The sequence below is a fragment of the Homo sapiens genome, chromosome 1 (genome assembly GCF_000001405.40).
Source record: "Homo sapiens chromosome 1, GRCh38.p14 Primary Assembly".
NCBI lineage: Eukaryota > Metazoa > Chordata > Mammalia > Primates > Hominidae > Homo > Homo sapiens.
The window spans coordinates 75,890,223-75,913,726 of NC_000001.11; the positions used below are offsets into that span (position 1 = coordinate 75,890,223).

The 23,504-nt window shown below is 34.8% G+C and overlaps 1 protein-coding gene across 1 annotated transcript in view; it reads left to right on the top strand.

Moving 5' to 3' along the window:
- The window catches only part of MSH4 (mutS homolog 4), a 116,361-nt gene extending 93,341 nt beyond the window's left edge, over positions 1 to 23,020 (top strand). Inside the window, exons 17-20 of the mRNA NM_002440.4 lie at positions 474 to 602; positions 7,685 to 7,859; positions 9,396 to 9,484; positions 22,474 to 23,020. Coding sequence (NP_002431.2) covers positions 474 to 602; positions 7,685 to 7,859; positions 9,396 to 9,484; positions 22,474 to 22,665 — 585 coding nt within the window. The 3' untranslated portion in view covers positions 22,666 to 23,020. The remainder of the gene's footprint in view (positions 1 to 473; positions 603 to 7,684; positions 7,860 to 9,395; positions 9,485 to 22,473) is intronic.

A 23,504-nucleotide genomic window follows, 5' to 3' on the forward strand; every position in this document is an offset into this window, starting at 1 on the left:
TTAAACCAAGAATCAAGACTTAGGTATTTTTTCTTAAATTTTTCTTTACTTCATCTTTACAGGGTATAGAGTAATACTTAAATAAATTTGAGAGATGGTTTTGGATACTTTATAGCAGTAATTGATTAGTCATTTGTGGAGAAGAAAATGACCATCTTTGTGCTTAGTTTAAACATTTAATTTATTGCATTTTTTCACTGTATCTAAAGCATCAATATTTTAGATAATGGTTATTTACTCTGTTGTCTCATATACATATGCATATGTCTATTTATGTACACATCAGCTATTCTACTGGAATTATTAGTCATGAGATTTTTAGAAAAGAAAACTATTATTTTCTGCTCAGCAGGATGTCTCTAAGAATACATTTCAGATGAACTTATAAAGAGACTGGGTTTCTCCTCATTTTTTCCTGTGATATTGACAGCTGTTTGGTTACAATGAATAAATATTAAAATTATATATTTCAGATAGCATATATTCTACATAATGCTAATGACAAATCGCTCATATTAATTGATGAACTTGGCAGAGGTACTAATACGGAAGAAGGTATTGGCATTTGTTATGCTGTTTGTGAATATCTACTGAGCTTAAAGGTATTCTTTTATTTTAAGTATATTGATTTTGAGTCCTTCTTTATGTATCCTTTTATTATTATTGAATTTTATGGACACCCACAAATAGCTTTTAAAACAATTTAGATAGTAAACACATATCATCGCATTTATATTTTTGTTCCTTCATTTCCAATGAAAGTGGGAATCATTAGTTTGATAACCATGATATAGATAAGGAAAAGATGAAATCAAGAAATTCAAATAATGCAAAATTAGTCAGTTGGCTTTAATTTCATCAAATTCAGTAGCAAAATATGAAGGTCTTTCAGTAATTGCCTCCATGTGCAATGATGTTGACTATGATGTTACAACAGGAAGGAAAGCACTAGGCAACTCAGGTAACTTTACAGAAAATCTATTTTACCTACCTAAGTAAATTTTATTCCTTTAAAGAAAGTAGTTTTTCACAAATCAACTATGTAAAACATTGATTTTTGCTCTATTAAATTAATTTATAAAATATCTTTTTAAATGGTCACTCACAATATATACAGATATGAACAAAACTGAAATAAAAATACTTTTTCTTATTTAAGATACCTTAAAATGTCCCTAAGATGAAGTTATTTACCTTAAATGAAAGTCCATAATGATTTATTTATTTTTATTATATTTATTTATTTTTTGAGACAGGGTCTCACTCTGTTGCCCATGCTGGAGTGCAGTGGCGCAATCTTGGCTCACTGCAACTTCCACCTTTCAGGCTCCAGCAATCCTCCTGCCGCAGCCTCCTGAGTAGCTGGGACTGCAGGCATGCACCATCATGCTTAGCTAATTTTTGTATTTTTAGCTGTGACGGGGTTTCACCATGTTACCCAGGCTGGTCTTGAACTCCTGGGCTCAAGTGATCCACTCACTTCAGCCTCCCAAAGTGCTGTGATTGCAGGCTGAGCCGTCATGCCCAGCTCGTAATGATTTATTATATAGAATGAGAAAAATCTATTTTATGCTTAAAAGTATGTGATAAATCAAAAGTAATGGTAATAAATAATATTAGTCTTTGTAATTTTGAATGTGTCAGTTTCAATTTCTCATATAAATAAAGTGCATATATTACTTAAGATTAAAAGCTAATTAGTGCCTCTGATGGTTAATTTTACATGTCAGTTTGACTGGGCCACAGAGTGCCCAGACATTTGGTCAAACATTGTTCTGGATATGTCTGTGAGGGTGTTTCTGGATGAGATTAGAATTGGTAAACTGAGTAAAGCAGATTGCCCTACCTAATGTGGGTGGGTCCCACTCAATAAATGCAAGCCTGAATAGAACAAAAAGCCTTCCAATGAGTAAGAGGAAACTCCTCCTTCCTGGCTGCCTTCAGTATGGAAGATCTGTTCTTTACTACCTTCAGACTCAAACTGAAACATTGGCTTTTTCTGGGTCTGGAACCTGCCAGCTTTGGACTGGAGTTGTACCATTGGCTCTCCTGGACCTATAGCTAGCCCATTTTAGACCTTGGTACTTGTTAGCCTTCATAAATCACATGAGCCAGTTTCTTATGATGAATCTCTTCACACGCACACACATACACACTCTCTCTCTCTCTCTCTTTCTCTCTCTCACTCTCACTCCTGCCCCACCCCCTCTCTATTGGTCCTCTTTCTCTGGAGAACCCTAATACAAATCTTGGTTCTGGTATGATCTGACAATAGTGGTAAGTAAAATATCACTATCGTATACTCTTAATCAACTGCTTGTAAGCAGCAGAGATCCAGGTGATTTTATATATGATACTTCCAAACATTTTTGGCAAACTAATGAATATAATGAAATTGGCTGGTTGCTCCTAGTGTCACTAGACAAAGTTGGGAAAGCAAAGGATGAACTCAAGGATTCAAATTGCCAGCTCGGGCCCCCACCCAAGGGACTTCCAGTCACTGCCCATCACATACTTGGTGAGGGCCTGCCTGTCACTACCAGGAAGAACCAGGCATCACATGTGTCCCTAGATCACAGCAGGGGGGCTGTAAGAAGGGCAGGGTTTCTTAACCTGGGATCCATGGATCCCTGGGCTGCATGAATCTGAAAACTTGAGTTCAGAAGCCTCAACTTAGATGGGAAAAAAGCCTCTTTATGGTCACTAACTTCTACTCGAAATTGAGCCTTTTCTTCCAGGTGAATGCAGGCAAACAAGCACACCAGGGTTAGCAGGAACTGTGTTTTCCCTAGCTAGAAACCACAGGTGTTTTCCAATTCTGTGACAGTGGCTGTAGACACCAGGAAATGTGCATCACTTCCTCACTGCTTCCAAAAGCAGGACTTAATTAGCCTTGCTGCTATTTAATGCATTATTTAATGTGTTAACTTAGAAGCATGTGTGTTACTTTTTAACTAAAACATTTTAAATAACAAAAAAGCACCAAATTGCCAGCTCATTGCTGCATAAATGACTTGAAAGCACCTAAATGTGCCCTGAAGGAAATCCTTATCTCCTATAGTCACAGGGTTGAGATTGCTGAAAATCAAACCCAGAATCTCATCCTATGCCAGAATTACAACACAAGTTGAACTCCCAGCTTTATAGGGTATCTCCTGTTAAAGTGAGGGCATTAGTTGGGAAGGAATGGGAGACTACCAGTTGGAATAGGAATGTGTAGGGAGACACTGATGAACCTGGGGACATTTAGGCCCTAAATTCTGATGAGTTGTCTTTGCCAGTAGAAGAGACCACTTCACCGCATCTGAGGGGATTAACCTAGCATTACCTGAGGAAACTGTAATGGCATCCCAGCCAATGCTGAGTCTCCTCAAGTCGCACTTCCACCACATTTCTTTGCCTCTAGACCTATAACTAGATCTCTAAAGGTGAGGTACAAAATGTGACTATAAGGAGATACATTGCACTCTGAAAGAACTACTTGAATTTTCTACTTTATACAGACAGAAATCCATGGAACATGCATGGGAATGTATTCTAAGGGTGTGGGATAAGGGTGGAAGGAACATAAAGTTGGATTAGGCTGAAGTTTTTGATATGGGCTTACTAAGCCAGGTGTGCATTTAATGTTGCAACTCAAAGAGTTAGAAAGCGATCTAACAGTTTGATTGACTGGCTGAAAAACAGACCAAAAGTTGGCCCACCATGAATGAGTTGCCTTGGTTTAATGCAGGGATTCAAAGCTTAGGGAGGTTGGAATGTTAGAGTGGGTTTGTCATTTAAGATCACTTACCCATCCTGGAAGAGTCCAAATGACATACCTTTTACCATGACTATGAGAAATAAATTTGTGAGAGGAGCCCTGGCAGCCTTGAAGAGCTCTGTTGTCACTCTTCTATATAGGACAGACATTACGGCCCACCATAAGGCCTTTACTGCAGGCACTGAATTGGGAAACCCAAATGCAATAGGAATAATTGGATCCCAGGGTGGTAGGGGCCAAGTTGTGGCACTCAGCCACCAAGGACAAGGTGGAAAAGTTACTGTAATGGGAAGCAGAGTTAAAGCAGCAATCAGAATAATCTGACTTACATAGACCTATGGCTTTGGATAGGAGGGCTACTAAATTCTGACTTGATCTGAATAAGCATAAAAGTTCTAGGTTGAGGTTTTATGCATGAGATCAGCAACAGGAGCCTGCAGTCACCAAGACTGACCTGGCTATAGCCATTACTGCATGCCCAGTCTGTCGGCAGCAGAGACGAACATTGAGTCCCCTTTATGGTACCATTCCCTGGTAGCAGATTGATTACATTGTACCACCTCCATTATATTCATATTGGAACAGACACTTATTCTGGACATCAGTTTGCCTTCTGTATGTGTAATGTTTCTGCCAAAACTAACATCCATGGACTTAAAGAATATCTTATCTGCCATTATGGTATTCCACACAGCATTTCTTCTGATCAAGGAACTTACTTCACAGCAAATGCAGTGCTGCAAAGGGCCTGTGCTCATGGAATTCACTGTTTTGACTGTGTTTACCAACCATCTTGAAGTAGTTGGCTTGATAGACTGGTGGACTAGTCTTTTAAGGACTCAATTACAACACCAGCTAAGTGGCAATACCTTTCAGGACTAGGGAAAGGTTTTCCAGAAGGCTGTATATGCTTTGAATCAGCTTCCAATATATGATGCTGTTTCTCCCATTGCCAGGATTCATGGGTCCAGCAATCAAGAAGTGGAAATGGAAGTGGCATCACTCACCATTACCCCTAGTAACTCAAGGGCAAAATATCTGCTTCCAGTTTCTATAACCTTGCTCTGCTGACATAGAGGTCTTAATTCCAAAAGGAGTATGCTTCCACCAAGAGACATAGTGATAACTTTTTGACCTGGAAGTTGAGACTCCTGCCCAGCCACTTTGGCTGTCTTATGCCTCTGAATCAACAGGCAAAGAAGGGAGGTATTGTGTTGGCTGAAGTGATTGATCCTGATTAGCAAAGGGAAATTGGACTACTACTCCACAATGCAATAAAGAAAGAATATGTCTGCAATACAGAAGATTCCTTAGGGTATCTCCGTTCTGTCATGCTCTGTGTTAAAGGTCTGTGGAAAACTACAACCCAACCCAGGCAGGACTATGAATGGCCAAGACCTTTCAGGAATGAAGATTTGGTTCACCCCACTAGTTAAAGAGCTCTGACTAGCTAGGGCTTGCTGAAGCCAAAGGAAATACAGAATAGGTAGTAAAAGGAAAAGGTAGTTGTAATTACCAACTACAACTCTCTTACCAGTTACAGAAATAAGGACTGTCTGTAATTGTCATGATTATTTCCACCTCATTTGGTATGATTTTTTTGGTGTGTATATATATACATATATTAAACAAATATTTTATTTCTTCTTATTCTCTTATAATGTAACATAAGATGTGTTGACTTCACGTCATATTATTTAAGTATTGCCAATTTCACATTATAGTATTTAAGTTATGAGATATCAAGAAGAATGAACATCACTCAGTGACGTTACCTCCTTTTCTGGAAAAGGGGTTAGTGCTTTCTCAGTTGTGCTGAAGACAGTTGTATCATATTAGAGGGAAGTATGACCTAATTATTGTCTTCATTTGTAGATTAAGTGTGGTATAAGGAGATGCCTATGGATGCCAAGTTTACAAGGGGTGGATTTGTGTTGAATAGTTTTATGTGTCAACTTGGCAAGGTCATGGGGTGCCCAGACATTTGGTCAAACATTCTGGGTTTATCTGTAAGGGCATTTCTGGATGAGATTAGTAGACTGAATGAAGCATATTGCCTTCCCTAGGGTGGATGGGTCCCATCCAATAAATTGAAAGCCTGAATAGAAGAAAAAGGCTGATCCTTCTAAGAATAAGAGAGAACTTACTGCCTTCAATCTGAAATACTGAAAGACTAAATTGCCTTCAGACTCAAACTGAAACATTGGCTCTTTCTAAGTCTACAGCTTGCAGGCATTTGGACTGGAGTTATTCCATCAACTCTCTTGGGTCTCCAGCTTGCTGACTGTAGATTTTTGATCTTGCCAGCCTCCATAATTGCATGAGCCAATTCCATATAATAAATCTCTTTACACACATACAACACACACACACACACACACACACACACACACACACACACACACACACCCTATTGGTCTCTTTCTCTGGAGAACCCCATCTAATACAGTATCTGTTTTCTTTTTTTTAATTTTTTTTTGAGATGGAGTTTTACTCTTTTTGCCCAGGCTGGAGTGCAGTGGCATGATCTCAGCTCACTGCAACTTCCACCTCACAGGTTCAAGCATACAGTATCTGTTTCCAAAGTATTCTACAATAGTTTAAAATAGTGTTTTTAGTATTACTTTACAATATTATTTTCTAGTATAAATAATTTAATAAAAATGTAATATTGCTACTTATTTTAAATTTAATTATTATTTTCTAACACAGTATCCTTAGTGCCTAGCACAATTCTTGCAACAGATAGGGTCTGAATAATTATTTGCTAAATTGAATTAACCTGAAATAGAGTCTACAAAGTTCCTCTAATAGATTGGTTTGGCATATAACTTTTAAGGACATTATTGTTATTGAATATAGTCTCTACCTTTTAAATAGCTTACTGTGTTCTAAATATTTCCTGTAGCTTTATAAATTTGGTTTTGTTTTATACTCCTTTTGATTTGTTGAGTAGGTATTTAAGAATTTTCATTTTTCTGTCATATACAAAATTATTCCTTCCCTTGCTTTTCACTTTCCATAGTTGATAGCCATTTTGCCAATCAATTATTTTTACTGTCTTAATATTTAAATTTCCACTGAACACCTACCTAATTTGTCACTCATAATGTCTTAAAACGTAACTGGTTATTCAGATCTCTATCTGCCTTAGTAAATTCTGGGCTGGAAATCTTGTGCTGGCTGTAAGTCACTTGAACCACTTTCATCAAAATCACCTAAAGTACTTACAGAAAATGCCATTTCCTGGGGCGCCACATTAGAACTATTGGTTGACAATTTTTCAGGGGATATGTACCAAGAATTTGCATGTTTAACAGGCTCTCTAAGGGATTACTAATGTTTGAGAGCCATTATCTTAATCAGTGTTCTCAATCTTTCTTTTTCCTCTACCAGTACCTAACCCAAACACAATGAAGTCTAAAAACTAAAAACTTTTGGAATTTGACATACCTAAGACAATCTCTTGATTCCACTGCCAAAACCTACTTACAACTAGGGAGGCTACTTTTATAGTTAAGTTTTTTAAAAATTGAGGAAAATATTATTTTTTTTGCATGTGAGTTACCTTCCTAATAAATGATTACTTCAATTCATAGCTTTGTTTCTGGTAAACTTCATCTTTTCAATATCTTCAGATATATTTTTTAGGATTTTATTTTCAGTTTTGTTCTCTTTCCCATAATGTGGCATACACGTCTGTGCACAAACATAATAAACATATCTTCTTCATTTAATATAAAATCTCAAAACATTTTAAAATGGATTGATAATGTTAGCCTCCAAATTATTAGTTTTATTCCTACATCTCTGCCAAGCTACTTAGAAAATTAAACTAAAATTTTATGTTCACATAGTTAAAATAGAATTTTCTAGTTAATTTTTAAAGTACTAATATTCATTGTCTGTTATATATTCCAGGCATTTACACTGTTTGCTACACATTTCCTGGAACTATGCCATATTGATGCCCTGTATCCTAATGTAGAAAACATGCATTTTGAAGTTCAACATGTAAAGAATACCTCAAGAAATAAAGAAGCAATTTTGTATACCTACAAACTTTCTAAGGGACTCACAGAAGAGAAAAATTATGGTACTGCATATAGAAATTATACCTATACATTCAAATACTATATATTCTCCTAAGACAAACTTTCATCTCTTCTTTACTTGGCTGTTAATCTAAGGAAATTTTCTCATTCTTTTGAGTGCTTATATTCTCTTAGATTGTATTTTCTATGTCAAGCTCATTGTATCTATATCTAGATATAGATATATAAATCTTTTTAAATTTTTATAAGCCAGTAACTATGTAAAAATACAGTGACAACTGAAAACCCTAGAAGTATTAGTTTCCTTAGAAAATGTAATTTATCTTATATTTGCAAGTTATATAATGAATTGAAAATTATATATTTTCTACACAATCTTTCAGTAGCAGGGTCCTTCCTCTGTTTTTCTTCAGGTTCTGGGTACTTGAAAATTAAATCTAAAATCTTAAATCTTAAAAGAGAATGTATTACCAAACCATATTTTTTTTTTTTTTTTGAGACAAAGTCTCACTCTGTCGCCCAGGCTGGAATGCAGTGGCACTATCTCTGCTCACTGCAACCTCCACCTCCCAAGCTCAAGTGATTCTTCTGCCTCAGCCTCCCGAGTAGCTGGGACTACAGGCGTGCACCACCATGCCCAGCTAGATATTCTTCAACTTGATTAGATACTTTCTATTTAAATCATTAAGTCTCACAGATTCAGAGAATTTTCAATTGGTCTGTACATACAAGTTTCAAAAATTATTTTAGCTATGGATATGACCCTTTGAGGGAAAAAAACCATCTTTGTTTTGCTATTTGAAATGGGAAATCAACTGGATTACTTATTTATATCAGATGTTTAAAATTTATGAGCCTCAATTTCATGATCTATGACATGGGAATAATTTTTTATATATGTAGAGTTGCAAAGATTCAATTAATTATCAAATGTGAGCTGTGTGGCACACTGCTTAGCAATTACTAACGTCTCAATAAATTTTGATGTTGCTTCTATTTCTAAAGCAATAAATACAGTAAGCTATTGGTGTACAGTAGAAAGCCATATGGCATTTATACAATAAAATTAAGCTCTAAAAACATGAGAATTATAATTGATCCTTTGAATTTGCATATAGATTACTCACCAACTGTTACATCTTCTGAGAAATTCCTGTCTCATTGATTTAGGTGGGTGAATGTTTAGCTGTAGTGTTATCCCTGTGACTAGCTATTATCTTCCCCTGCAAAACTCATATGCCTTTTGACCTTCTGTTAACCAACTATATTTGCAAATGGAATTTCAATATTATTATTTTCTAACTATCTCTTTTGTTCCTGATATCTCAGAGCTATATTGAGAGGTAACTGATATTCTAATTTGCCCTATGTGTCTTGGATAAGTAATTAAATCTAATAATTGGCAAGTTGTCATCCAGAATTTTAGAAAGCTTAATTCTGAGAATTATTGAGTAGTTCAGAAGTGCCTCTAGAAGGGAAGTTTAAATCTGTGACTAAAAGATTAATACTAGTTAAAAGAAGCATAAAAATGCCAGCAGTAACAATATTGAAGCCAAATTTAAAACAAATAATTCTAGGATTAAAAGCTGCAGAGGTGTCATCACTTCCACCATCAATTGTCTTGGATGCCAAGGAAATCACAACTCAAATTACGAGACAAATTTTGGTAAGAAACTTTGTTCTTATTTGTTCTTCAAATTAAAAAAAATACTTTTAGTGTAGATTTTTATTATGACCTTTGATCTAAATATATAATAATTAATATAATAATTAAAATATTTAAAATTAAAACCTAATTTCTAAACAAAGAAAATTAATTTTACTTCTTAAAACTCTTTTGGTTTGGTCTATTATAATCCTCGCAGCAAATCAGCTAACAAGCTAGGAGATAAAAATTAAACAGTTTAGTTTATAAAATAATTATTGCTATACTAACTTTATGATGAGGAAATAAATCTATTTTAAGTGGACATTAAAAATGAAAATCACTATGCACAATATTTGTATAATTATATATTTTTTATAGTTTTCAAAGCTTTTCTACTCATCATATGTAAGCCTCATAACTCTTCATGAAGTAATTAGGTCTTTATAGTAAAAGATTAAAAAAGGATTACTTCTACTCTTAATTTTACAGGTTCACAGAGGTTAAGTGATTTGTTAGGAAGCAGTAGGTTCAACACTAAACTCACATCTGTTGACTCAAAATTTGGAAAATTTTGGTTGCTTTATATAAGTGTTTTTGGTTTTGGGGTTTTGTTTGTTTGTTTGTTTGTTTAAGATGGAGTTTTGCTCTTGTCATCCAGGCTGGAGTGCAATGGCATGATCTCGGCTCACTGCAACCTCCGCCTCCTGGGTTTAAGCGATTCTCCTGTCTCAGTCTCCTGAGTAGCTGGGATTACAAGCGCCCACCACCACACCCGGCTAATTTTTTTTTGTATTTTTCGTAGAGGTGGGGGTTTCGCCATGTTGGCCAGGTTGGTCTCGAACTCCTGACCTCAGGTGATCCACCAACCTCGGGCTCCCAAAGTGCTGGGATTACAGGTGTGAGCAACCGCTCCCAGCTGCTTTACAGTGTTTTAAAAATGCAATGTGTTCAGTAAACTGACCTAGGTGCAGTGTGATATTTTCTTCAATAACAATTTTCTGTGTCCCTCACTCTTTCTTAACCTGTCTTCCATTTTTAATTCCTCTCTCCTTTAAGTTCCTCTACTGTCTCTGTGACTTCACTTGCCTAATTATCTATTTGAATCTCTTAGTCAGAAATTTTAACTGTTCTGTACTCTGAAGAAGCTCTTATTACCTAACTCTTTAGAGTTCATCTTACCACATTTCAATTATGGACCACCTCTCTACTAGCCTTCTAGTAGGCTTTGATTCTCCTAATGAAGTTTGAAAAATATTCGAAACAAGCTATTTTTATCCACTGCAAATTCATATATTCTGATTTTAGTTGAATATTTTACTGGATAATTGTGATTTTTTTCTTTTTTTAATTGATAATAGTTGTACATATTTTGGGGCTACATGTGATATTTTGATACTTGCATGCAATGTGTAATGATCAAATCAGGGTAGTTGGGATAGCCATCACCCCAAACATTTATCTTTACTTCATGTTGAAAACATTGCAATTCTTATCTTCTAGCTATTTTGAACTATACGACACATATTAACTATAGTCACCCTACTGAACTATCGTACACTAGACTATTTCTTCAATCTAACTGTATTTTTGTACGCATTAACCAACCTGTATTCATCTCCTTCCTCCTCCAAACCCTTCCTAACCTCTAGTAACCATCAATGAGCTCTTCACCTCCATGAGATCAACTCTTTTAGCTCAGGCATATGAGTGAGAACATGTGGTATTTGTCTTTCTGTGCCTGGTTTATTTCATTTAGCATAGTGATTCTTTATCCATGTTGCTACAAATGCAAGGATTTCATTTCTTTCTTTTTTGGCTGAATAATATTCCATTGTGTATATTTACCACATTTTCTTTATCCATTCATCTGTTAATGGACACTTAGGTTGATCCATATCTTGGCTATTGTGAATAGTGCTGCAATAAACGTGGGAATATAGACATCTCTTTGATATACTTATTTTCTTTCTTTTGGATAGATGCCCAGCAGTAGGACTGCTGGATCATATGATAGTGCTATTTTTAGTCTTTTGAGAACCCTCCATGCTATTTTTCATAGTGGCAATACTAATTTACATTCCCATCAACAGTGTATGTGCATTCCCCTTTCTCTATCCTCACCAGCATTTGTTAATTGTCTGTCTTTTGGATAAAAGCTATCTTAACTAGGTGAGATGATATCTCATTGTGGTTTTGATATATATTTCCTTAATGACTGGTGATGTTGAACATTTTTTCATATACCTGTTGGCTATATGTTTGTTTTGTTTTTTAATCTTTTATTTCACTTATGTTGTTCCCTCTGCTAAGAATTTAATTCCTCTTCCTCCATCTACCTCATCCATATAATTTTTATTTAACATTTTTACCTAGCTCAGATGTGAACTTCCCCAAGAAACTTCCCTGAATTTTTTTCCAGTGGAGCAATGTACTCATTTCTTGTTCTTAAAGGCCCCTTTTCACAACAACTATGATGTAGTTGCAATAATATATCCACATTGCCTATTTTTTGTTTATTTTTATTTTACTTTATTTTAGATTGAGGGGGTACATGTGCTTGCTTGTTACATAGGTATATTGCATACTGCTGTGAGTTGGGCTCCTAGTGTACCCAATAGCCAGATAGTGAACATTGTAACCAATAGGTAATTTTTAACCCTTGCCACCTCCTACCTTCCCCCTTTTGTCCCCAGTGACAGTTATTTCCATCTTTATGTCCATGTGTACCCATTGTTTAGCTCTCACTTATAAGTGAGAACATGCAGTATTTGGTTTTCTATTTCTGAGTTAGTTCATTTAGGATAATGGCCTCCAACTCCATCTATGTTGTGTAAAGGACATGATTTCATTCTTGTTTATGGCTATTAGTATTCCATGGTTTTCTTTATGCAGTCAACTATTGGTGGGTGTTTAGGTTGGTTCTATGACTTTGCTATTGTGAATAGTGCTGTGATGAACTAGGTACAGGTGTTATATATGTGTATGTATATATATATATATATATATATATATATATATATATATATATATATATATATATATATATAGTTCTTTTAGTTCTTTGAGAAATCTCCGTAAGGTTGAACTAATTTACATTCCCACCACCTGTTGGCTATTTGTATGTCTTCTTTTGAGAAACATCTATTCAGATGTTTTGCCAATGTTTTAATTGGGTTTATTTGGTGGGATTTTTTTGCTATTGAGTTGAGTTACTTAGATGTTTTGGTTATTATTTCTTTGTTATTATTTTGCTTAATTTGGTTGTCAGAAGGAGAGCTTGAAAATATTTCCTCCCCTTCTGTAGGCTGTCTCTTCACTTTGTTAATTTTTTTTTTTGCTATGCAGAAGCTTTTTAACATAATGTAATTATATAAGTGTATTTTTGCTTTTATTGCCTGCACATTTGAGGTTTTACCCAAAAAGTCTTTGCCCACATTAATATCCTAAAGCATTTCCCAATGTTTTCTTCAAGTAGTTTCATAGTTTCAGGTCTTACATTTAAGTCTTTAATTCATTTTGATTAGATTTTTATATATGGTAAGAAATATGAGTCTGGCTTCATTCTTCTATATATAGTTATCTATTTTTCCCAGCACTATTTATTGAAGAGACTGTCTTCTTGGTATCTTGTTGAAAATGAGTTGGCTGTAAATGCTTGGACTTATTTCTGGGTTCTCTGTTCTGTTCAATTTTTTGATGTGTCTGTATTTATGCCAGGACTCTGTTGTTTTGGTTACTATGGCTTTGTAGTATATTTTAAAGTCAGATAGCATGATGTTTCTAGGTTTGTTCTTTTTGTTCAGGGTTGCTTTGACTATTTGAAGTATTTTGTGGTTCCATATAAATTTTAGGATTTTTTTCCACTTCTGTGAAGAATGTCTGTTATTTTGATAGGGATTGTATTGAATCTATAGATTACATTGAATAGTATTGACATTTTAGCAGTATTTATTCTTCCAATCAATGAACACATTTATAGCAATATTTATTCTTCCAGTCCATAAATGGGATTTCTTCTTGTATTTTTTTCAGTTTGTTCACTATTGACGTATACAAATGTCACTGATTTTTATATTTTTGGTGGAGTCTTTAGGGTTTTCTAAGTATAATATGTCATCTGTAAAAAGGATATTTTGACTTCTTCCTTTCCAGTTTGGATGCCTTTTGTTTCTTTCTCTTGCTTAATTGCTCTGGCTAGGACATCCAGTACTATGTTGAATAAAAGTGGTGAAAGTGGGTGTCCCTGTTTTGTTCCAGAAGTTAGAGGAAAGACTTTCCATTTTTACTCCCATAGTATTATTTAGTTGTGGGTTTGTAATGTATGTCCTTTATTGTTTTGAGGTGTGTTCCTTCTACACCCAGTTTGTTGAGACGTTTTGTCATAAAGGAATGTTGAATTTTGTCAAATACTTTTTCGGCATCTATTGAAAAGATCACATGGTTTTTGTCCTTGATTCTGTTAATATGACATATCATATTTATTGATTTGCATATGTTTTATCATTCTGGCATCCCTGGGATGAATTCCGTGTAATCATGGTGAATGATCTTTTCAGTGTGTTGTTGTATTTGGTTTGCTAGTATTTGGTTGGGTTCTTAATTTATGTTTAACAGGAATATTGGCCTGTAGTTTTCTTTATTTGTTGTTTCATAGTCTGGTTTTGATATCAGGGTAATACTAGCCTCATAGAATGAGTTTGGAAGTGTTCCCTCCTCTGTAATTAATTGAAATAATTTGATTAGACTTGCTATTCATTCTTCTTTAAAAATATCTGGTATAATGCAGCAGTGAAGTCATCAGGTACTGGCTTTTCTTCTTTTTCTTTTTCTTTCTTTTTTTTTTGACAGGATCTTGTTCTGTTGCCTGGACTGGAGTGTGGTGGTGCAATCCCAGCCCACTGCTTACTTGACCTCCTAGCTCAAGTAATCCTCTTACCTCAGCCTCCCAAATAGCTGAGACCACAGGTACACACCACCACATCTGGCTAATTTTTATTTATTTACTGTTTTGCAGAGATGGGGGTCTCCCTATACTGTGGGGTTTTCTTTGAAGGGAGATTTTTTATTATTACTTCAATCTCATTATTCATTATAGGTCTATTCTTGTTTTCTATTTCTTCATGCTTCAATCTTGGTAAGTTGTATGTCTCCAGAAATTTCTTTCTTTCTTTTAAGTTTTCCAATTTGTTGGCATATAGTTGTTTACAATAGTCTCTAATGATCCTTTGTATTTCTGTGGTATCAATTGTTATGTCTCCTTTTTCATTTCTGATTTTATTTGGGTCTTCTCTCTTTTTAGTTGGTCTAGTAAAGATTTGTTTGTCTTTTGTATTTATTTTAGTTTCAACTTCATTTATTTCTGCTTTGATCTCTATTATTTCTTTTCTTCTACCAATTTTAGGTTTGGCTTGTTGTTTTTGCTTTCCTAGCTTTGAGAAGTACCACGTTAGGTTGTTGTTGTTTTTTTTTAAATGTTTCTACTTTTTTGTTGTAGGTGTTTATTGCTATAAACGTTTCTCTTAGCAATATGTTGCTGTATGTCATAGATTTTAGTATGTCATGTATTTTTTTCAAGAATTTTTAAATTTTTCTTTTTAATGTCGTTATTGACCCATTGATTGTTCAGGGGCATGTTGTTTATTTTCCATGTATTTATATATATAGTTTCCAAAAGTTCATTCTGTTATTGATTTCTAGTTTTATTCCATTGTGGAATAAAATATACTTCATAGGGTTTCGACATTTTTGAATTTATTGACACTTGTTTTGTGGCCTAATGTATTGTTTATCCTGGAGACTGTTTCATGTGATGATGAGAAGAATTTGTATTCTGCAGCAGTTGGATGAAATGTTCTGCAAATGTCAGTGAGGTCCAGGCAGTCTAGAGTGTAGTTTAACTTCAGTGTTTAATTGTTGATTTTCTGTTTGGATGATCTGGCCATTACTGAGAATGGAATGTTGAAGACCCCTACTAGTATTGTATTGCAGTCTATATTTCTCTTTATATCTATGAATTTTTGCTTTACATATTTGGATGGTCCACTGTTGGGTGAATATATATTTATAATTGTTATGTCCTCTTGCTGAATTGACCCCTTTATTATTATAGAATAACATTCTTTGTCTCTTTTTACAGTCTTTGACTTGAAGTCTATCTTATCTGATATAAACATAGCTACTCCTGCTCTTTTTTGGTTTTTATTTATCTGGAATATCTTCTTCCATCCCTTTACTTTTAGTCTAGTATGACTTTGTAGGTGAAGTGAGTTTCTAGTTAGCATCATACAGTTAGATCTTATTTTATTTCTTTTATTTTTTTTGAGGCAGAGTTTTGCTCTGTCACCCAGGCTGGAGTACAGTGGCTTGATCTCAGTTCACTGCAACCTCCACCTCCCAGGTTCAAGCGATTCTTCTGCCTCAGCCTCCCAAGTAGCTGGGATTACAGGCACCCGCCTGTACACCCAGCTAATTTTTGTATTTCTAATAGAGACAGGGTTTCACCATGTTGTCCATGCTGGTCTTGAACTCCTGTTTTTTTAAGTCTTGTTTTTTTAATCCATTTAGACACTCTTATGTCTTTTAATTGGAGAATTTAGGACATTTACATTCAATACTATTACTGATAAAGACTTACTGCTACCATTTTGTTACTTGTTATCTGGTTGTTTTGTAAGTGCTCTCTTTCTTCCTTTTTGATTAAGTAATTTTTTCTGGTAGTATGTTTTAATTCATTGCTTTATATTTTTAATATATATAATATATATACAATATTATATATATTATATATAATATATACATATTATATATTATATATATATAATATATAATATGTATATATTATATATAATATATATAATATATAATATATTATATATTATATAAATTTAAATATATATATTTTAATTTATGATTTTCATGAGGCTTATAAAATATTTTATAGCTATAACACTTTATTTTAAACAGATAACTACTTAGTTTTGACCATAGAGAGAAGAAAGTAACAAACAATGGAAAAACTGAAACACTCCGTACTTTAACTTCATTCCCCTGACATTTTGATTTTTTCTTGTCTCAATTTACACCTTCTTATATTGTCTATTTCTTTAAAGGTGTCTGTAGTTACTATTTTCATAAACGTGTCTTTTTTTTTTTCTTTTTTTTTTGAGATTGAGTCTCACTCTCTTGCCCAGGCTGCAGTGCAGTGGCGCGATCTTGGCTCACTGCAAGCTCTGCCTCCTGGGTTCGCACCATTCTCCTGCCTCAGCCTCCTGAGTAGCTGGGACTACAGGCGCCCACCACCACGCCCAGCTAATAAATGTGTCTTATAGTCTTTATGTTAGAGATATGAGTAGATTACACATCACATTTATAGTATTAGAGTATTCTGAATTTATGTACTTACATTTAAACTTCAAGTTTGTTTGTTTGTTTGTCTTTTGCATGTTAGCATTCTTTCCTTTCAGATTTAAGAGCTCCCTTTAACATTTCTTATAATATGGGTCTAGTAATGATGCATTTCCTCAGCTTTTGTTTGTCTAGAAAAGACTTTTTCTCTCCTTCATGTTTGAAGGAAAGTTTTGCTAGGTATAGTATTCTCAGTTTGCAGTTTTTTTCCCTTCAGCACTTTGAATCTGTTATTCCACTCCCTCCTGATCTATATGGTTTTTGTTGAGAAGTCTGTTGCCAGATGAATTGGAGCTGCTTTATATGTTATTTGCTTCTTTTCTCTTGCTGCTTTTAGGATTCTCTTTGTCCTTGACCTTTGAGAGTTTGATTATTATATCATTTGGCTTGTCTTATTTGGGATGAATATATTTGGTGTTCTGTGACCTCTTGTACCTAGATATTAACATATTTCTCTAGGTTTAGTAGGTTTTCCATTTTATTCCTTTAAATAGGCATTCTACTCTTTGCTCTTTCTCAATTCTCTCTTGAACACCAGTGAATCTTAGATTTGCTCTTCCACGGTGTATCTCTCTCTCTCTCTCTCTCTCTCTATACATATATATATATATATATATATATATATATGTATAAAATCTTTCAGGCTGTCTTTATTCCTTTCATTCTGTTTTTTTTTCCCTCTGACTATATCTTGGCTTACTGCAACCTCCGCTTCTTGGATTCAAGTATTTCTTGTGCCTCAGCTACCCAAGTAGCTGGAATTACAGGCATGTGCCACCGTGCCTGTCTAATTTTTTTAGTGAGACGGGGTTTCACCATGTTGGCCAGGCTGGTCTCTAACTCCTAGGCTGAAGTGATCTGCCTGCCTCAGTCTCCCAGAGTGCTGGTATTATAGGCATGAGCCACTGTGCCTGGCTAATCTCACTGATTCTTTCTTCTGCTTGATCTATTTCTTTTTTGGAGAGCCTCTGTAGTTTTTTTAAGTTCAACAAATGTATTTCTCAGTTCCAGGGTTTCAAATCTGTTTGCCATTTGATTTTTAAAAACTTTCATCTGTTTTTTTTTTTTTTTGAGACAGAGTCTGGCTCTGTCACCCAGGCTGGAGTGCAGTGGTGTGATCTCAGCTCACTGCAACCTCTGCCTCCTGGGTTCAAGAAATTCTGCTGCCTCAGCCTCCTGTGTAGCTGGGATTACAGGTGTGCACCACCATGCCTGGCTAATTTTTGTATTTTTAGTAGAAATGGAGTTTCACTGTGTTGGCCATGCTGGTCTCAAACTCCTGACCTCAAATGATCTGCCCACCTTGGCCTTCCAAAGTATTGGGATTACAGGCGTGAGCCAATGTGCCCGGCCAAACTTTAATCTCTTTATTAAATTTCTCTGATAAATTTATCAGTTGCTTTTTCTGTGCTGTTTTAGAGTTCATGAATTTTCTTAAAACTGCTATTTTGAATTCTTGATCTTAGAGCTCACGTATCACCATCTCACCACGATGTTGATCACCAGCTCCTTGCTTTGTTCATTTGGGGAGATCATAGTTTCCTGTTTGCTCTTGTTCCTTGTGGATATATATCTATGTTTTTGCAATGAAGGATCAGTTTATCTTCAGTGTCTCGCTTGTTGGACTTTCTAGGTTGTATGTTTGCTTAGAAGTTCTTTGCAATTGTCTGTGATTCCCCTTAATCCTAGATTGCTGCCTCATTTTCAGCACTAGATGGCACCTTAAGCCCAGAATTTCCTCAGCTCTGGCAAATGTTTGCAGTACTACACATCTCAGATGGTAGGGTTCTTAGAGGGGATACCTCAGCTGTGTGGAAAGGCTGGCTAGGGGTTTATACCCAGATGACCTGTGGCATCTGCTTCCTCTAGCATGGTGCTGCTGTACATCCACACTGATTTGGTGTCTCCTTCGACTGAAATGAGGAGTAGTTTTACAGGCTGGAGTTTCTAATTCCACTCCCCTTTTTGTCTCTAGCTGCCCTCAGGCGGTTTTCTCCCTCCAGGCACTAGTGGTGCTTCCTGTGGGTTTAGGCAGGAATGATTTTTCTGCAAGGGAACCCAGGATGGTGGGGAAGCTGGCTATCCACCTCAATCTCACTTTTTCCAGAGTAGAACAAATGAGATTGGGAGGAATTTTCTGTGCATGATGCCTGGCAGATTGGGGCACGGACATTGCAGATAGAGAACTTTCTTTCTTTTTATAGTCTGCTCAGAGTTTTTCACTTCTCTGTCTCCCAACTATCATTTCAGCCTCAGATTTGGCTTCTAAAATGTTGCTGGTGTTAATCTGTGCTCCAGATATTTGCTTTTGGTTCTCTGTGGGGAGAGCAAAGGCAGACTGCTTCTACTCTGCCATTTTGTTGATATCCAGAATTGTATTTTTTTTTTTTTAGTATATACTTTAAGTTCTGGGATACACGTGCAGAACGTGCAGGTTTGTTACATAGGTTTACATGTGCCATGGTGGTTTGCTGCACCCATCAACCCGTCATCTAGGTTTTAAGTCCCGCATGCATTAGATATTTGTCCTAATGCTATCCCTCCCTTTGCCTCCCACCCCCTCCCCCCGCTGACAGGCCATGGTATGTGATGAGAATTGTATTTTTTTCTTTTTATTTATTATTTAGCTTCTTTTACGATAACTCTTTTGAAACAGTTTCACTCTTCCTGTACTCTCAATCACTTCACTTTCTACAGATAATCTGCCTCCTACTTTTTAACAAATTTGAGGTCATCTTGATGAGTTCTTGAACCTCCCCTCCTTCAAAATTTTGTTTTGAATATTTCTGTTTTTCTTCCATCTCTCTTCCATCTTATCTCAGAGGAAGAGACTGACTTTCAGACAGAAGGTTAACTATTCTACCTTTTAAAAAAATCTCCACTAAGTTATTATTACTTCTCAGTTCCCTTTATTCTCTTTTGCATCTTTAATATTTTCGTCACAGGCTTTTCCTTTTTCTAAGAGTATGCTTAGATTTCTCCCCTAAAATTCTGCCTGTTTACTCTACTTTTCAAACTATTATTTCATTTTCTTTTTACTGCAAACTTATCAAAAGTAACCCATGCTTGCTTCTTTCATTTCTCATGTTTAAACTGAGTCTTATTGTCATCACTCTCCCCAAAGTTTTCTCTTAAATACCAACTAATTATAAAATCCTTTGTCCTTCTTTTCACTTCTGATCTTCCATGATCTCTCTATGGCACTTGACACTACCCTTGTTTTCTCTTTTCTTAATTCTGCCCTCTCTTGGCTATGTGGAATTATTCTCTCCTGGATATTTTCATTCTCCTACCTGTTTGATTATTTCTTCTGTCCCTTCTTCACTAGTACTTTTTCTTTTCTTTTTTTTTCTTTTTTTTGAAACAAGGTCTCACTGTGTTGCCCAGCCTGGTTTTTAACAAATTCCTGGGCTCAAGCATTCCACCCGCCTCTTCCTCCCAAAGTGCTGGGATTACAGGCATGAACCACCGCACCCAGCCATCATCATTACTTTTTCTTATTCCACTTACTAAATATAAAAGTTTCTAAGATTTTTGCCCTTGTTTCTTTTCTTTCTAAAATCTGCACTTGGTGATCTCATCTTTTCTCACAGCGTCCATCATCATTTCTGTTCAACTCTGAATCTATATATTTTTCTCCATATTTCTCCTACATATCTTAATCTATGTTTAAAAGCCAAAGTTAAATTTATCATCTTCTAAAAAAAACTCTTATCTCTTCACCTTTAAGTCTCCCAGTGACTCACCAAAGTCATATATGGATCATTCCTCTTAATCACCTGTCATTAGGACTATGCAGTAAGTTCTCTCTCTCTCTCAATCTATTTATATACACTTCTACCAGATTGTCTCCTAATGCATAGTTTTTATTATGTAGTTTGCCTACTCAGAAACTTTTAATGATTTATTACAAAGTAAAGTTGAACTCCTTTGTCTAGTGTAAAAAGTCCTCTGTAATTCTCAAAATATATTTTAGAATTACCTGCATTAGAATTGCCTGAGATACAGGGTACCATACTAGATTGTCAAGGATCTTCTGTGGCTCAGGGATTTGCCTTCTTAACCAGTTTTTACGTGATTGTAAAGCTTATTGGCTTCTGCTTCATGATTTTCCTTTGTTTTCTACACCTCCCTTACATAATATCACTCGGTTTCACGTAATCTACATTTCTGCAATTTCAATCTTGTAAATTAAATTACTTGTCATTACTACATTGAATTACTTGCCATTTCATCATATTGACCTGATTGTGTACCATGCTTTCAAATGTACCTGCTCTAACTGTTTCCTCTGTGGAATACCCCCTCTTCTAGGCTGTTTTATCTATCAGGATTAATTTCAATACTCCATCCTATTCAAGCTTTTCTTGGCCTGAGCTGGAAGTGAGTTTCCCTTCCTCTGAGTATTTTATGGCTGTTTTATGGGACTTTTCTTAATTATTATAATCAGTTGCTTACAACAAGCCTTTTGTTTTTTTAACCATTAAGACTGTAAGCTCCTTGAGTTCTGTTATCATGTGAGGTTTACATTTTTGTATCCCCCATAGATATATAAACGTAAGCTTAGAGGCCTGGAACATAGATGATAGTAGATATTCAATAACTTTCTTAAAATAATAGACTAATTGGTAATTGATCTGTGTACCAAATAGATAGATGGGTGAATATATGGTAATCTTATTCTACCTCATAAAATCTTACTCATTTTTCCTATAGTGAAAAGTAAAAAAAAATCTGGAGTTGCTTGCTATTATGAGTTGAAGGGATTATATTTCAGGGAAACTCACTAAGACTTTCCATAAAAAGTTAAGATTAAAAATGCTGATTTCTCTATCTAGTTCAGGCAAAGAGGTGAAATAAGAATTTTCTAGGTATATTTGCAGTCCTGAAGTTCTATTCAAGACCAAGCATCTAAAGGACTTCTACATTCCTGTTTTACATATTATTTCTTGGGTATCCCGAAGTTTAGTTTATTAAAAATTAAGGCATGATTTTAAATAGCTATTCATATTATTTATTTTTAAAATGTAATTTACCCCTCAGGCAGTATTTTCTCTTAGGCTCCAGCAGTTTCTATATATGTACTCTCTTTAGGGGCAAGCAATTTTCTGATGACCCATTCTGTGTACCAGTTTATCTGTTGGGGAATTAAAGTAGGAGATAGCAGAGTAGTACTCTTTGGCATCATTTAAAAGTATATTACCACATAGCAATGAACAATGCTGTTTTCCCATACCTTTTTAATGGGAAAGTGTTTGTAGAGTCTATCTCTGGTGGATTTTCTATTACTTTTCGGTATTATGTTGAGAAATCTGACCTATTTAGCATAATTTTTTTCATTGAAAAGTGATTTCAAGAACATAAGATCTGTGATAAAGTAACAAATACTCAGAATAAATTATGTTCTTTCAAATACAATATTTCTTTTATTTCTTCTTGTATATTCTTTCCTTGTTGGAGGAAACTGATTTGTTCAAAGGAATTAGTTAACCCTTGAGTTCCATATGTCTATGGAAGGAGATAGAATATTGCCAACATGTGGTTTAAATAAAAATTATGGTATTTGTGTATATATATATATATTTTTTTTTTTTCAATGACAGCAAAACCAAAGGAGTACCCCTGAGATGGAAAGACAGAGAGCTGTGTACCATCTAGCCACTAGGCTTGTTCAAACTGCTCGAAACTCTCAATTGGATCCAGACAGTTTACGAATATATTTAAGTAACCTCAAGAAGAAGTACAAAGAAGATTTTCCCAGGACTGAACAAGTTCCAGAAAAGACTGAAGAATAATCACAATTCTAATGTAATAATATATCTTAATTCAAGGAACCTAGAATTTATTTTTCTCCTTAGAGATAAGGAAAATAACATTTGCCAAATTTCATATTTTAATTGAAAATTACATTATATTAACATCACAATTGTCATCTATATATTCTATATGAAAAATATTTATTATAACTTAACAAATGAGAACTACTTAAAGGAATGGTTTTTATGTTAGGAGAAAATACAATACACCACTTTTTTCTCACAAAAATTCACATTATTAAGACCTAAGTTCATTTATACTTACAAGTTATAGTTTAAAATATTATTGTAAATACCCTAGTTTAATAAACACCTTTCTTTTTAGGTCTGGAAACTTTTTTGAGCTTTTCTTTTACATTCTATTCTGAAGTAATAATGCCCTATAACTCAACAATTTATTAATCAGTACCCCCACTTCCAACACTGGAGGGTTCTGAAGTTCATCAGAGTAATTTTGGAATCACGCTGCTAAGTGAGTAATCTCAGCATAAAGGCCTAACATAGACAAGTTATTCTTTTCTTGGGCAACTAAGTGTCTGGAATTCAAGCTATACATTTGAAACATTTATTTAGTAAGCTACAGTATTCATAATAATTTGACCCACCAATATTATTCACAGACCACTTAGGGCCATATTTTATTCTATAACATTTAATATTAATGTTTGTTGACTTTATTAAACACTCAGCATTCTAAGTAAATATTAGTAGCCAAGTATATTGAAAAAGTTATAATTTAAATGGCACACATATTATTTTGGAAAAGTAAATATAAATTATTTTTTGTTTTACATTCAATTCAATATATATTAAATGTC